At 53.7% G+C, this 13,767-nt stretch overlaps 1 protein-coding gene and 4 non-coding genes across 36 annotated transcripts in view, besides 3 other annotated features; 4 read left to right on the forward strand and 1 right to left on the reverse strand.

Moving 5' to 3' along the window:
• Window positions 1–13,767, forward strand: part of AOPEP (aminopeptidase O (putative)) — a 423,526-nt gene that overhangs the window by 355,026 nt on the left and 54,733 nt on the right. For 14 of the 32 annotated variants that reach the window (NR_169862.1, NR_169864.1, NM_001386068.1 and 11 more), the window contains one exon: window positions 4,958–5,435. The exons of 1 other annotated variant lie outside the window; for it this stretch is intronic. Coding sequence is in view for 22 of the 31 variants with exons in the window: in NM_001386068.1 (NP_001372997.1) it covers window positions 4,958–5,218 (261 nt within the window). In the remaining 9 variants the exon portion in view is untranslated. Of the gene's footprint in view, window positions 1–411; window positions 2,612–4,205; window positions 4,396–4,957; window positions 5,436–13,767 lie in introns of those variants that run through there. 17 more of the 32 variants (XR_929854.3, XR_929853.3, XR_007061364.1 and 14 more) reach the window with 4 other exon arrangements.
• Window positions 3,484–3,580, forward strand: MIR23B (microRNA 23b). Its single transcript, NR_029664.1, has one exon. It is a non-coding gene; the product is annotated as a microRNA 23b (primary transcript).
• Window positions 3,721–3,817, forward strand: MIR27B (microRNA 27b). The gene has a single exon (NR_029665.1). It is a non-coding gene; the product is annotated as a microRNA 27b (primary transcript).
• On the reverse strand, window positions 4,290–4,370 carry MIR3074 (microRNA 3074). Its single transcript, NR_036109.1, has one exon. It is a non-coding gene; the product is annotated as a microRNA 3074 (primary transcript).
• Window positions 4,297–4,364, forward strand: MIR24-1 (microRNA 24-1). The gene has a single exon (NR_029496.1). It is a non-coding gene; the product is annotated as a microRNA 24-1 (primary transcript).
• Window positions 8,229–8,978: an enhancer, noted in NCBI's record as "H3K27ac-H3K4me1 hESC enhancer chr9:97852235-97852984 (GRCh37/hg19 assembly coordinates)". NCBI's record gives its function as "activates a minimal SCP1, AML or CMV promoter by ChIP-STARR-seq in primed H9 embryonic stem cells {active_cell/tissue: H9 hESC(primed)}" and the evidence as "EXISTENCE:reporter gene assay evidence [ECO:0000049][PMID:30033119]".
• Window positions 8,979–9,728: an enhancer, noted in NCBI's record as "H3K27ac-H3K4me1 hESC enhancer chr9:97852985-97853734 (GRCh37/hg19 assembly coordinates)". NCBI's record gives its function as "activates a minimal SCP1, AML or CMV promoter by ChIP-STARR-seq in primed H9 embryonic stem cells {active_cell/tissue: H9 hESC(primed)}" and the evidence as "EXISTENCE:reporter gene assay evidence [ECO:0000049][PMID:30033119]".
• Window positions 9,729–10,478: an enhancer, noted in NCBI's record as "H3K27ac-H3K4me1 hESC enhancer chr9:97853735-97854484 (GRCh37/hg19 assembly coordinates)". NCBI's record gives its function as "activates a minimal SCP1, AML or CMV promoter by ChIP-STARR-seq in naive H9 embryonic stem cells {active_cell/tissue: H9 hESC(naive)}" and the evidence as "EXISTENCE:reporter gene assay evidence [ECO:0000049][PMID:30033119]".

Consider the following 13,767-nt stretch of genomic DNA (forward strand, 5'->3'; position numbering starts at 1 on the left):
AGTATATTTAGAATTGTGATCTTTGACAAATAAGGATCACCATGTCTGGACTTTTTTGGGAAAGCACTTTTGAACCCTTAACTACGAAGTTTTGCTCTTGCGATGTCTTTGAGACCCTTCTTTTAGTTTACTCCAGCGGAATGTAACTCGTGGCATAACTAAGCATGGCACAAGAGAGTAGACAGATCCAGATGGGCCCTTGGGTCTTCTAGAACGTCCTTGGCTATTTTAAAAATACAGGAAAAATGCAGATGTGAGTGTTTGCGGCATTGTTCCCAAGCAGCAGAGCCGGTGCGGGCTACGGTGCAGGGCTGTGGAGGAAAGGGCGCAGGCGGGGTGGGCGTCTCTGCGGGCATCGTGATGTGTCTCTGCCGCGGCTGCTGCCTGCTGTGCTCTTTGCTTCCCTGGCAGGTGAAGGACTTCCCGGATGAGCTCAGACCAGCTACTCCTAGGGACACACTTTGCGGGGCAGGAGTCCCGTGTCTGTAATGCCACACAGGCTCTCCGCGTGGTAATTCTGGGAACCATCTCTGTCTGTTCAGAGCGTTCCTGACACGGCCATCATGGTGGGAATGCCTGCTCATCGTTCTGTCACCAGTGAAATCGTCAGAGTCTGTGTAGAGAATTGGGAGCTGAGGATTCCTTGGGGTTTTGAGTACAAGGAGGAGACAGGGATTGCAGACTGCAGCTTCCAAAAGCACAGTCAGCCCACGGCCTCTGTCTTCTCTGGGGTCTTTGCAATTTCTAGACCAGCAAGTGTGTGTGGAACAAGCACAGACTGAGCTCATGTGTGCGTGTGTGTGGGTACCCACACCTTCGCCTGATGCCCTTTGGCCTCTGTGCCCTGCAGGCCATGGGTGTGTACCTCTACGGGGAGCTGATGGTGAGTGAGGACGCCAGACAGCAGCAGCTCGCCCGTAGGTGCTTCGAGCGGACCAAGGAGCAGATGGATAGGTCCTCAGCCCAGGTGGTGGCCGAAATGTTATTTTAACGAGGTGATTCTCTCCCTTTCCTTTCTGTCATTTAGTTCTAACCAGATACTCCTTTTAGGAGCCAACTAAATCAGTAAGCCGAATAGTTAGCCAAGACTACCCGCAGCATCAATAGTCGGCTCCCTGGCCCAGGGCCTGGAGAGTAACTGGCCAAGTGGGTGCTGGGCTGGTATGGGAGCCCCGGGTCCCTGGAGCACCTTGCCTGGCTGTGGCAGTCACCGGGAAGCAGAGGCTGTCCACCTGGAGGCACAGCGGCACTCCTTGGCACTATTTTGGCCACTTCAGGTTTTATAATCTGTTGAAACAAAAATTGTGGGGGAACATCTTGAGTAGGTTTAGAGATGGAATGGGAAGCCTGGCAGAAGCGCTGGTCCAGTCTTCAGGGTCACGGCTGATACAGGAGTTTAAGCGGCCGTGTGACTCCAAAGCCTAGCTTCTGCAAGCAGATGTTTTCTTCTAGCCATGTGTGAATTGGAGGTTCCTTGGGCTGTCCACGCCTGGTCATCGGCTGGCAGGAGGCTCTCCAGGCACACGCAGCACACACAGCACATGCACCACACGTAGCACACACACTGCATGCAGCACACACACACCAGAGGACGCACCACACAGAGCACGCACAGCACACACCACACAGCGCACGCACCACACAGAGCACACGCGGCACACACAGCACACACAGCGCACGCACCACGCAGAGCACACACGGCACATGCAGCATACACACCAAACAGCGCACGCACCACACAGAGCACACGCGGCACACGCAGCACACACACCACACAGAGCACCTGGAGCACCCACAGCACACACACCACGCAGAGTACACGCGGCACACACACCACACACAGCGCATGCACAACACAGAGCACACACAGCACATGCACCACACGTAGCGCGCACACTGCATGCAGCACACACACCACACACAGCGCGTGCACCACACAGAGCACCTGCGGCACACACAGCACACACCGCACGCACCACACAGAGCACATGTGGCACACACAGTGCACGCACCACACAGCACCCGCGGCGCACACAGCACACGTGGCATATGGCCTCCATGACCCTGTGTCTTGAGGGCAGGTCCTACTTTTTGCTTTGTTGTGTTGGAGCGGAATTTCTCCCCTGGCTTCTATTGGAGTCCTAGATTATTTAAATCACTTCCTCTGTTAATTGTGCCTGGAATTAACCTGTTAGATTTACTTCCTAGCAGTTAGTTGCTCAGTATGGGTTTCTACACTATTAAAGCAACCTAGCGGTAGTACACAAGGTTTTGTTAGGATAGCTGTGAGATTTTTTTTCTCTAACAATCATCATTATTTCTGTGTCTGCTCCGTTTTTCTTCAGTGTTTTATATGATATTAATAGGGGATGTCTAATTTTGTATCTTTAAAAAAACTTTATCAAATCTGAAGCATTTTTCGTGTTATAGCTTCTCTATAATTTTTCATGGATATTGAATATTTGGTGTTGATATTCTTCACTCAGTTTTGAACATTGAGTTTTCTTCTAATGTTTTGTGCTTATGAAAACCATTTCTGTGTAACGTGTTTAAGTAGCTTATTTATCTGAAAGAACTCTAATAATGAAAAGAAATAAAAAGTTTTTCAGAAGCATGATCATATTCTTCCAGAAGAGTCAGGAACCATGTGTGCCAGGAAAGGGAAACGGGACTGAGCGTCTCGTAGCGAAACGCCTGCTGCAGACTTGACGCGGCTCCCCTCCAGGACGGGCTGGCGGCACACAGACTGTGCACTTACCTCACTGCCGGCCTCATAATAGTAATCAGTGTAAATGGTGTTTCTCTTTCGTTTTGTTATTTCGTGGCGTACGTGTTAAAGTGTGTGAAACTACAAGGCCAGCTAGTCCTTTCATCATTCCCTTTGGTGCAGGTTTTGGAGCAGCACCACAGGGCACACCCCTCGCCACTCTTTATGGGGAATTTTTGCCCAGGCAGGCAAAGGAGTCATCTTGGTCACAAGTCTCCCTTTTCCCCCTCCCCAGCATCTTCGATCCTGTCCCCACCCCTCCAGATGCATCCAGGGGTTGCAAGCCTGCCCCCCAACCAGTCCCCGTGAGGAACAGTGGCCGGGATTGTCCCAGGGCCCCTTCCAGCAGGGGGACCTCCTGACTTGAGAGTCCCCAAAGCCTTCCCAGGGCAGCTAGAATCTGCCTGGAGAGAAGGGATCTTGTCCCCAAGGGTTAGAGGCAGTAAACTAATAGCAAGGACAGCTGCCTTTAGCAATTGTGTGTGTCGCATGGCCGGTCCCTGCATTTTTCTTCAGTTCCAAAGCTGCACTGGCATTTTTATGGTCATCTCTGGAGTCCCTTTGATTCAAGAAATTATACCTCTAGGATGCCAACTAAACGAACAACAAACAGAAACTCCACCTGTTTGCTAGCATAACAGGCGTGAAGGCGGCAGTGTCGCCGGCGTCCTTCCGCGGAAGCCCAGTGTGTGCAGACAGCACGGGGTGGCGCTGCTCTCAGGTGCTCTGGCTGCTTGGGTTCCTGGCATGCTGATTTGTGACTTAAGATTAAAATCACATTGCCAGGGATTACCACGCAACCACGACCTTGGCTGCTCCTCCAGAAACCGTGGTCGCGCTCACTGCAGATTGGAGAACAGGTGCATCTCGTAGCTCTTCTTTGGAAACAAAAGAAGCCACCAGCTGAGGAAGATGCTCACCGGTCACCGTCCCTTTATTTATGCCCAGCGATGACCTCTCTAACAAGGTGCAGAGCTTAGCTGATTGGTGAACAGTGATTGGTTTCCGCTTTGTTCACAGTGGCTAAGTTCTGCACCTGAAGAGAAGGTGAGATGGGGACAGTTAAGTTGGAGCCGCTGGGGCAGAGGCCGTTGCTGACGGGCCGGCCGCTGCTGCACAGTCAGCTTGGGTGCGGAGCGCGATCCTGGAGGATGAGAGACCACTTGACCCCAAGGATGCACTGTCTCCTGCTGGGAATGCTAGCCATGTACTGAGTCCTTAAGTCTGTCCACAGAAACATGCACTAATCGGACATCTGTCTGAAAGGTCAAATGTATTGAAAGTTGCAAAAATTCTTCTTACAAAAAACTAAAACCAAATGCATCACCTAAGTCGTGTGAAATCATGTGGTAGCTCATGGCTGTGAGCGGGGCGGGGCGGGGCTTTCGGAGGAGCTCCTGTTGTTCTGGGCGCGGTGAACTCTCTCTTGTATTTGCAGTCCAGGCCTTCGCGTCTCCTGCGCCAGCAGACGGTGCCCACGGAGCTCCCAGCTGAGGCGCTGCTTCTCCGGGCTGTCGATTGGACCCGCCCTCCGGTGCCTACTGAGCTGATATCAGTTCTCATTTTACACACTGGCTCAGTTCAGCAGGAACAGGAGTCGAGCCCTTGAGCAAAAAGCCTTCGTGTCTGTAAGTGCCCGAGGCTCAGGAGAGCTGGGGCTCCCACTCGCGGCAGACAGGCCCGCGTCCACCCTGCGTCCACCCCGGCCCGGCGGCAGCACGGTGCCAGTCATCTGCATGTGCTCCTGCGGCGTGGGGGTTTGTAGACTTGGAAAACCCTGTTGGCAGAAAGTTAAGAGCTCCCAGGCCTGAAGGCAGGACACAGTGCCAGCAGGGGGCCGTTTGCCCCCATGTGTAAGGGAGGCAGGGCCCAGCTCTCCCACGGCGAGGTGAGCTGAGACTTTCTGAGAACAGTTAGAGTGGGTGCGTGTCTGAAATGGGTACTCCTAGCAGCTATTGTGTACGCAAAGCCTGAGTACAGCCTGCTGGTGTCATGGCCACGTGTGAGCAGGCCAGCGTCACACGGCTCGCTGTGACCCGTCCCGGAGACTGAAATGGGCCTGGGTCTTCTCCTTGTCCTGTGATTAAAGTCCTCTCTTGAAAGTGGAGAGCAAAGGCACACAGAGGTGCGCGCTCACAAGAATTCCTCCCGGTGACTGGGTAATCAATGTTACTGCTGTTTCCTTTGCAGGAAAGACCACAGCAAGATTCTTTCATTCGTCTCCTCCTAGCCTGGGGGACCAGGCTCGAACTGACCCTGGACATCAAAGGAGGGATTATGTGGCTGCTAAAGCCATCGGCCCACAGCCCTGTTCACATCTTGGTGCTTCTCTTTCCCAGAGGCTGGTCCCAGCCAGGCACACACAAAAGGCAGATTCTCGTAAACGCAGCCTCCCTCCCTGGAGGCTGCCTCCTGCCCTGGATCTGGAGTGGAGCTGCTCTGAGATTTTGAGTTCTTCTGCAGAGATGATTAAATATATCCAAGAGACATTGGAAAACCTGCTGAACATTTTACATTGGTCTGCTCAGCACATGGCTGGATGCGGATATTTCTATAATTCCAGAAAGTCACACAGCTCCTCTGTATGAGACCAGTGGGCGCCATTTAAAAGAACAGGATGAGAATCTAAGATATATTATTAATAAATGTAATGGATTTTTTTTTTGTATACGTGTTTGCTTCTAAATTTCATACTGTTTAAAAATAATAAAGGCCAGGTGCGGTGGCTCATGCCTATAATCCCAGCACTTTGGGAGGCCGAGGTGGGTGGATCACGAGGTCAGGAGATCGAGACCATCCTGGCTAACATGGTGAAACCCTGTCTCTACTAAAATACAAAAAATTAGGCGGGCGTGGTGGTGGGCACCTGTAATCCCAGCTACTCGGGAGACTGAGGCAGGAGAATCGCTTGAACCCAGGAGGTGGCAGTTGCAGTGAGCCGAGATTGCGCCACTGCACTCCAGCCTGGGCGACAGAGCAAGACTCCATCTCAAAAAAAAAAAAAAAAAAAAAAAAAAAGCACGTACAAGAAAAAGGTATTCTCCACATTCTGGTGTTCCCCCCCCACCTCACTAGTTTCTTTGTTGTTTTCAAGGTAGTGTTAGTTCTCTTAGAAGCCTGAAAACAAAAGTAATTTGGCTGCGCGTGGGGCACCCTCTTCCGATAAAATGGAGAGCCTGGGCATATTCAGGCATCGTGGGAGTCTGGTGGTATGATTTTTCTTTCTCCACAAGGTTTAGGGTATAGACAGAAGCTGGGCACTGAGCTTCCTTGGCACTGTCCATGGGGCAGAATGTTTGAAAATGCCTGGAGAAGGCTGTAGGAACGGGTGCAGCCATGGGCCCTGTGCCAAGTTGGGCTGAGCATGAGTGCACCTGAACACACCCACAGTCTCCTCTGCCTGGCTCCAGGGGGCAGCACAAATTCTGGCCTGTTTGGGGTGAAGTGGGGCTCTACCATGGATCTCATTAGAAGCTCTGGACTGGGAGGCCTTGGTCTCCAGAACTCTCTTTTCTTGTCCCAGTGACTGATTCCAGAACGTTCTTAGGATTTGCTCTCTGCTGTCACATGCCTTTGCGTGGGACTGTATAGCTGGCTGTGCCATCGTGGAGGATGGCTCAGAACTTGACTGTTATGTTTGAATAAATACACGACCGCGGCTTCCTGTGGAGATTTAGAATGAACGATGCTTTCTCTCTGTGTGCTGCTGCCTTTTTTTTTTCCTTCCTTTCTTTTTTTTGACAGTTTCACTCTTGTTGCGCAGGCTGGAATGCAATGGCACGATCTCTGTACACTGCAACCTCCGCCTCCCGGGTTCAAGCGATTCTCCTGCCCCAGCCTCCCGAGTAGCTGGGATTACAGGCTCCCGCCACCATGCCCAGCTAATTTTGTATTTTTAGTGGAGATGGGGTTTCACCACGTTGGTCAGGCTGGTCTCGAACTCCCGACCTCACGTGATCCACCTGCCTCGGCCTCCCAAAGTGCCGGGATTATAGGCGTGAACCACTGTACCCGGCCTCTCTCTCTCTCTCTCTCTGCGCTTTCTAAGTGTGTTTGGCTTTCACTGAGGCAGAGCCAGGAAGGACCGTGGGAGTACCGGCCGCACTGCCCTGCGAGGCTCCCACTCCCACTGTGTGCAGATGCTTGGCACCTGGAGCTCTCAAGAGCTGCGGGTGGCTCACCGGCCCAGTGGTTTGGGGTGACCTTGCTTTTCCAAAAAGTGAAAGCCATGCTTTATCTTCTTTAGAAACCACTAAAGCAAAGCTGAACTGCTGAATAGGTGGGGTTCTGCACAAAGACCACTAATCCCCTGGCTCCTGTGAGTCACCGGGTCTTGTGACTTGCTTTGACCACCGGGGATCTGGCCAGTGGGTGGCATAAATTTGGTGGACCTCATCAGAACCGGACATTGCTGTCACGGATTTGACTGAGGTCCTGCCAGGAGTCGGCCTTTGCTGCCTCCAGACCTGGGGGCACCCTGCCCGTGCTGGGGCTGCCCCTGGAGGTGAGGGAGGGAGGAAGCCGGAGAGCAGCTCCGCCACTCTCTCCAGGCAGGAGGCTCCCCGAGGCTCTGCAACTGCCCTCGCCGGCATCCTTCACCCGTGCCTCAGCTGACTCTGAATGGGTTCTGCTAGCTGCTCCTCTGGCATCTCCTAAGAGACTTGAGAGAACCTCCACCCAGGGCCTGGCAGAGAGGCCTCTAGATTCCAGCCTGAGAGCAAACCGGGGTCTCGGGGTCAGTAGGAGACAGATGTGACCAGTACTCTTCCATTTTTAAGTGAAGTATCACATCAGAAACTAGCTCAGATCAAAGGGCGTGTGACAACTGAGGCTAGAACGCTCACTGCCTTAGCCCAGCCATAGCACCTTCGGAGAGCAGGGCTGTCTGCACGGGACATAGTAGTTTTGGATGAAGACGGGCTGTCTGGAAGAGCAGGATGTGGGTGTGCTGGGGAACCTGAGTTCCCACTGTGGATTCATCTGCCAAGTGGCAGGGTTTGAACGCAGGTCCACATGGCTCAGAGCTTTCCTCCACGCCACAATGCCTCCCCAGCTGTGGGCCCTTCGTTGACATCTGCTGAAGCCTCCGTGTCCAGGCACTCCTGGGGATACTGTCTTGTCACACTCAGCAGCCAAGACTTGAGAGGCCCCCCTGGGCCTTCACTCCTAATCCAGTCTGATGGAAGGGCAGGCTGGGTGGGGGCACGGGCTGCTTTGGAAAGCATGGAAACCTGAACTTGAATCCGCCAGTTAAGTGCTGTTTCCCAGCCTCAGCTCAGCAGCTCCCCGCGGCCGACCCATGGGTGGGACCTGTCACAGGTTCTCAGTTAATCAGATGTGAAGATATTAGCTCCCCCCACCCTGCAACAGGCTGTAAGAAACTGACAGGAACAACCTTCTTTACCAACAAGCCAGCGCCTCCACTGAACAGACGGACCCAGGACTGGAGGGTCCCCACAAGACACATCAGCTTCCTGTCTAGGTAGAAGCCAAGAAACACCTGCTCACAAGGGGCTTTCTTAGGCTCTAAAATGACTTGCAGATGCCATGGGATGGGGGAGCCCCATGGCTATGCCCTGAGGCTGCGTGGGGCTAAACGGCACTGAAGGGCCACTGAGGGGCTGGAGGGCAGAGGCCGCAACACGCCACCCTGGCCCCTGTGGCCTGCAGCCACTAGCAACGTCACAGGGCCATCTGTCCCCTGAGTGGTAGGTACGAACAGTTAACTGGGTTTGCCAGGTTTAATAAAAGATCAGGGAGAGGCAGCAAGTTAATGGGTTAATTGCCACTGTCCTCCAGGAGAACAAACGGATGCCGGGTCCAGTCCTTCCCCCTGAGGCCGCAGAGATGCCAGTGTTTCAGCCCGCAGGAGCCGGGCAGCCCAGTGCAGGGCACTTCTCCAGAGGCCAGCACGTTTTAAACCATGTCCCCTGCTGCCGCCTCCGGCTGTCTGAACACAGGCTGCGCCAACCTGTGGCTGGGCCCGGGCCCAGGGCCTGCTGCGGGAGGGGAGGTAGCCAGGGCATCTGAGGGTGACCCCAGCCCAGAGGGCCCCCCCTTCGAAGGGAGGAAGCAGCAGTGACCACACCCTGCACTTGGTCGCCTGCAGGCCTCGCCAGCACCCTGGGGCCGGCCTAGAAAGGCAGCCCCTGCCTCCCTGCTGGGGTTGAAGGGACAGGAGGACCTCCCCAGCCCAGGGCTCTGGACCACAGCCAGGGGTATAAGGGCAGGGAATTCTGGCTGGACAAAGGCAAAAAGTGGGGTGAGGGAGGATACAGGAAAGAAACACCAGGGAAGACGGTCAGGTCCCAGCTCAGCTTCCTTTGAGGATTAAAGGATTTTAAAGCATTTATGTTTATTGGAATTTCAAACCAAAATACTGAAATAATAGCCTCCATGCTAGGCAAGGTGACCTTGCCTGCAGCATGGAGGGAGGCCAGCCACACCCAAGACAGCCCTGACGGAAAACCTGCCCTCAATGACAAAGGGGTCCAGGGAGGCTGCGGCTTCCCTCCACCTCGATTCAGCCTGCAACAGCCGGTGGCCGGGCCTGGGGGAGGCCGAGGGGAGGGACCTGTGCCGCAGTGACCTCACCAAAGGCAGCTGTGACCCACAGAGCAGCTGAAAGCAAGGCCAAGGGCCGCTTTCAAGGGACAGTTTGTTTAGAGTTTCAAGTTCTAGACCAAGCACGTCCTTGTTCTATAGATGGGGCCAGTGGAGGACTTGTGTGGGTCATGGGTGGGGGTGAGGGGAGGTGCTGGCAGGGAAGGAGGGCTCCTTGGCAAGGCAGTCCCACCCGGCAAGGGGCCACAGTCTGTCCTGGGAGGCTCCTTCCAAGCAGAACTCTGGGTGCGCAGGGCCCACCACACCCCATTCCCCAGAATAAGCGGGGTGCTGCCTGGCACTTTGTCAGGGGTTCACATTAAAGTGTGGTGGCTCTTTGGTTAGTTGGTGCCCTTGGGCTGAGCCACTGCAGGCTCACTCTGTGCAGGGCCCAGCCATGACAGTCACTGTATAGGGGCACGGAGACGGTGGCCACCCAAGAGGTTTGGGGGAGCTGGAGGTTGAAAGGGCTGCCTGGACCTCCCAGGGTCGTTCCCAGCACCCGCGGGACAGTGACCTTGGCCTTGCTGCTTGGGCTCTGGAGATTTACAAGGTGGAAGTGAGGAGAGGCCAGTTGTGACTATTCAGTGGCAGGGTTTTATAGATCTCTTCCCACCCTCCCTGCTGTCTGGGAGACTGATCACCCGATAGGCATTCCTGTTCCAGTCGGATAACTAGACGGTGTGAGAAAGGCCGGCAGCCGAGCCTGGGGTGGAAGGAAACCACCGTAAAGCCACAGATGTCCCAAGACCAACTTGGCACGTGTGCATGTGCGCACCCCACCCCAGCAGCCCCCATGGGAGGCCCAGCCTGAGAAGCCACTCTTGGGGCTGGGGGTGGGAAAAGGGGGTTGATGCCCCGTGGTTCTCACATAGATCCAGAAGAGAAGAAAGGCTGAGAGCTTCGGTCACCAGGCTGTGGCCTGAGAGAGTTGCTGATGGCACCAAAAGCCTGTTGAAGGCTGTGTGTGTGTGTGTGTGTGTGTGTGCACACACACACACACTAGTAGGGAGAGGCAGTGCAGGGCTAAATGCAGAAATGCAGAGAAAGACCTCTGACCACACAGTTCTGTCTAGTCCCAACAGCTTACAAGGAACCAGACCGGTCCCTGCGGTGTTTGTTGAGATAAAACAAGGTCAGGGTTTGGCTTCTCAGCCCCAGGACTTAAAGGGGGTGGGCCCAGGGGGAGCTGCTGTAAAGACCAGAGCCTCCCACCCCCGCCTGGGCCCACCCAGCATCTGGCTGCTCTGCCACCCCTACCTGACCCTGGCAGTCGCTGAGTGGGGCCTGGGGGCGGGCCTGGGGCTGCTCCCAGGGGGACTGTCCATTCTGAGTCTCCCACAGGCTCCCCACCTGGGAGAGGAGTGCCCAGCTCTGATCCTGCCTGGGGCCGCCTGCCCAGACAGCTCATCTGTGGCTTTGTCTGGGGCACAGAGGCGACTGGGTGTGCACCCTGTGGTTTCCATTTTCTTAAGCTTTCTTTGTGCTCCTTCTGCCTGTAATTTCTTTCAGCCTGGGCCTTTGTGGAATCTGTCCGCCACTTTAAAGCGCAGCCGAGGAGGTGCTTTTGCCAGCGGGGTGTGGGTGGGGTGCTGAAGCTGCCCATGGTCAGACCCTGACTCACTGCCAAGAGTCCTGAGTTCCAGAAAGTTCCTTTCTGCTCTCATAGTCCTCCCTTGCCACAACGAGGTCTGACAGAACAGAAGTGCGTTTCCTGACGACTGGATCGGACGCTCATGGCGAGCTCTGAAAGGCAGGAGTCAAGGAAGCCCTCTGTGGCTAAGACACCACACTCTTCACCCGTGATCCCTGAGGTTTCTGCATTCTGACCCTATGATTTAAGTCCCCAGGGACTTCAGCTGCAGTTATGTTTAGGGAGGGAGGCTCAGGAAGAACATGAATTACGGCATAACTCAGAGATGAGGCCGGAGTCCGTTTCAGTGATTGCTGATGGAATGGAACAAGTGTGCATTTATGTTGGGTTGTAAAGAAAACACAGATAATTTATGGGGAAGGAGCTATAGTTTGATGATTGTATCTGCTTTACTAAGTTAAAAGCGTGGAGGAAGTGACTGCAGAAACTTGGTTTTAGCACAGCTGAGGCAGAGGACTTGCGTACAGGAGGAAAGCCATGATGAGCACAGGGCCCTGGCAGATGGAGGATGGGTCTTTGGAAAGCTGGGTCATGGCCCAACAAATGTCAGGGCACATGCGTCCAGTCATAGTAAGTAGACTTTTTCTAGAAAATTCTGTCCAATGGTAGAACATAAGTCCTGTGAATAAGAAACAAAAGCACCACCACGGTGACTACGGTGCAAGGATCAGAGATGGCGCTGTCTCCTTTTAAAGTTACAGATGGTGCCTGGCCTCCTTCCCTTCAGGGCAGCGTTTAACGGCAGCCCTCTCTTAGAGCAAACAAAGAGTCTTCCTTTGCATACTTGATAACAACTTATTTTTCTCATAGATCACACATGCAAACAAATATAGGTAATATGTAAACAAAAAGTAAGTTTTCTCTGCCTTTTCAGCTAGTCTCTTCCCCAAATCACTATAATGAAGTTGATTACCGTCTCCACCCTGGCGCCGGCAAGCACGTGTGCAGGCCCTGCTTTATACACGGAGGGTGGCACAGTGTTCACACGGGTCTAGATTGGCACGTACATAACGCTCGCTTCTCTGTGTCGATGGCTGCATTGCATGGACGCGCTGTAACTCGAGAGGCAGTGACACCCCACCTTCTGGGGGCTTCGTTCAAGTCCCAGCCCTGCTAGATGGCCTCAGTGTAGCCTTGGGCACATTATTCGGCCTCTCTGTGTTTGCATTTCCTCCTCTGTAAGCTTCAGCTGACTTTGTTGGGTCAGTGTGTGTGAAGTGGACAGCAGGCCCGGGCTCAAGGGTAAGAGTGTGCACTTGCTTGCACGCAGGCTTTTCCTTTTTTTCTCTCGTTCCTCTCTCTCCCCCACCCCTTTCTTGCTCTTCTCCTTTCTCTCCCTTTCCTCCCTCTCTGTTTCCTTTCATTTATATCTTTATGTGAACCTCTGAGTTGCCCCAGTGGTTGTTGGCTGTCGCATCCTGCACACGCACAGGCGCCGGCATATCCACGGGGAAAGCCCTAGATGTGCGCACTAGTGTGGATCCCTGCAGTCTGCAGTGGAGGGAGTGGGGTCAGGAGAACTGGGTGTCTGCTCCTTGGAGAAAGGATATATAATCTTTTTCGATCTTAGTGCTTTTATTACAGCAGAATACACATAAGATTGACCAGTATAACCATGTGTCAGGACCCAGCTCAGCAGCCTCGGTGTCTTCATTGTTGTGCAGCTCACCACGATCCGCCTGCAGAACTTTTTCATCTTCCCCAGTGAAACGGGACCCATTCAACACTCGTGCCCCACTTCCCCTCCCCCAGGTCCCTGGGAAGCACCATGCAGCTTCCTGTCTTTGAGGCTTGCCTGTTTTAGGGAGCTCATATGAGAGGATTCATAAAATCTTTGTCCTTTTATGTCTGGCTGATTTCATTTAACATAAAGTCTTCCAGGTTCCTCCATACTGTGGCGTGCTCAGGATCTCTGCCTCTTTTTTCTTTTTTCTTTGAGACAGAGTCTCACTCTGCTGCCCAAGTGGAGTGCAGTGGCACGATCTTGGCTCACTGCAGCCTCTGCCTCCTGGGTTCAAGCAATTCTCCTGCCTCAGCCTCCCGAGTAGCTGGGATTACAGGTGTGCGCCACCATGCCCAGCTAATTTTTGTATTTTCAGTAGAGACGGGGTTTCACCATGTTGGCCAGGCTGGTCTTGAACTCCTGACCTCGTGATCTGCCTGCCTGGGCCTCCCAAAGTGTAGGATCTCTGCCTTCTAAGGCTGAGGACCATCCTGCCATACACACAGACCACGTTTCCTTTCTGCACTGGCTTGGCTGCTGGCGGATGCAGCTGTCTGCCTCTTGGCTGTCCAGGAGAGTGCTGCCAGGAACATGGCGTCCAGGATTTCCTCAGCTGTTACTTTGCATTCTTTTGGGTAAACATCTAGAGGCAGAATGGATAGATCAGAGTTCTAGGTTACCATACTGTTTCCAGAGTCAATTTTCTATTTTGATTTTTTTCACCCTATCTTACGGTGCTGATAAATTTGGATGTTTGACAGGCTGTCCTCCGAAAAGGTGGTACCAGTTTCCTGTCCCTTCCTCTGCCTGTTCCGCACTCTGTCATCAGCATGGGGAGCATCAGCCTTGAGTGTTTCCCAAGCTGCCGTGGAGATGGTTGGGAGCACCTGGGCTTCTGCCACGCTGTGGAAAAGCCCCTGCCGTCCCGTTCCCTGTGTCGTGTGTGTCCCTGCCCGTGCGTTTCGAGCTGGCAGCTGTTTCCTTACTGATGTGTAGAAGAGCTTTAGAAGTTAGGAAATT

The sequence above is a fragment of the Homo sapiens genome, chromosome 9 (assembly GCF_000001405.40).
Source record: "Homo sapiens chromosome 9, GRCh38.p14 Primary Assembly".
NCBI lineage: Eukaryota > Metazoa > Chordata > Mammalia > Primates > Hominidae > Homo > Homo sapiens.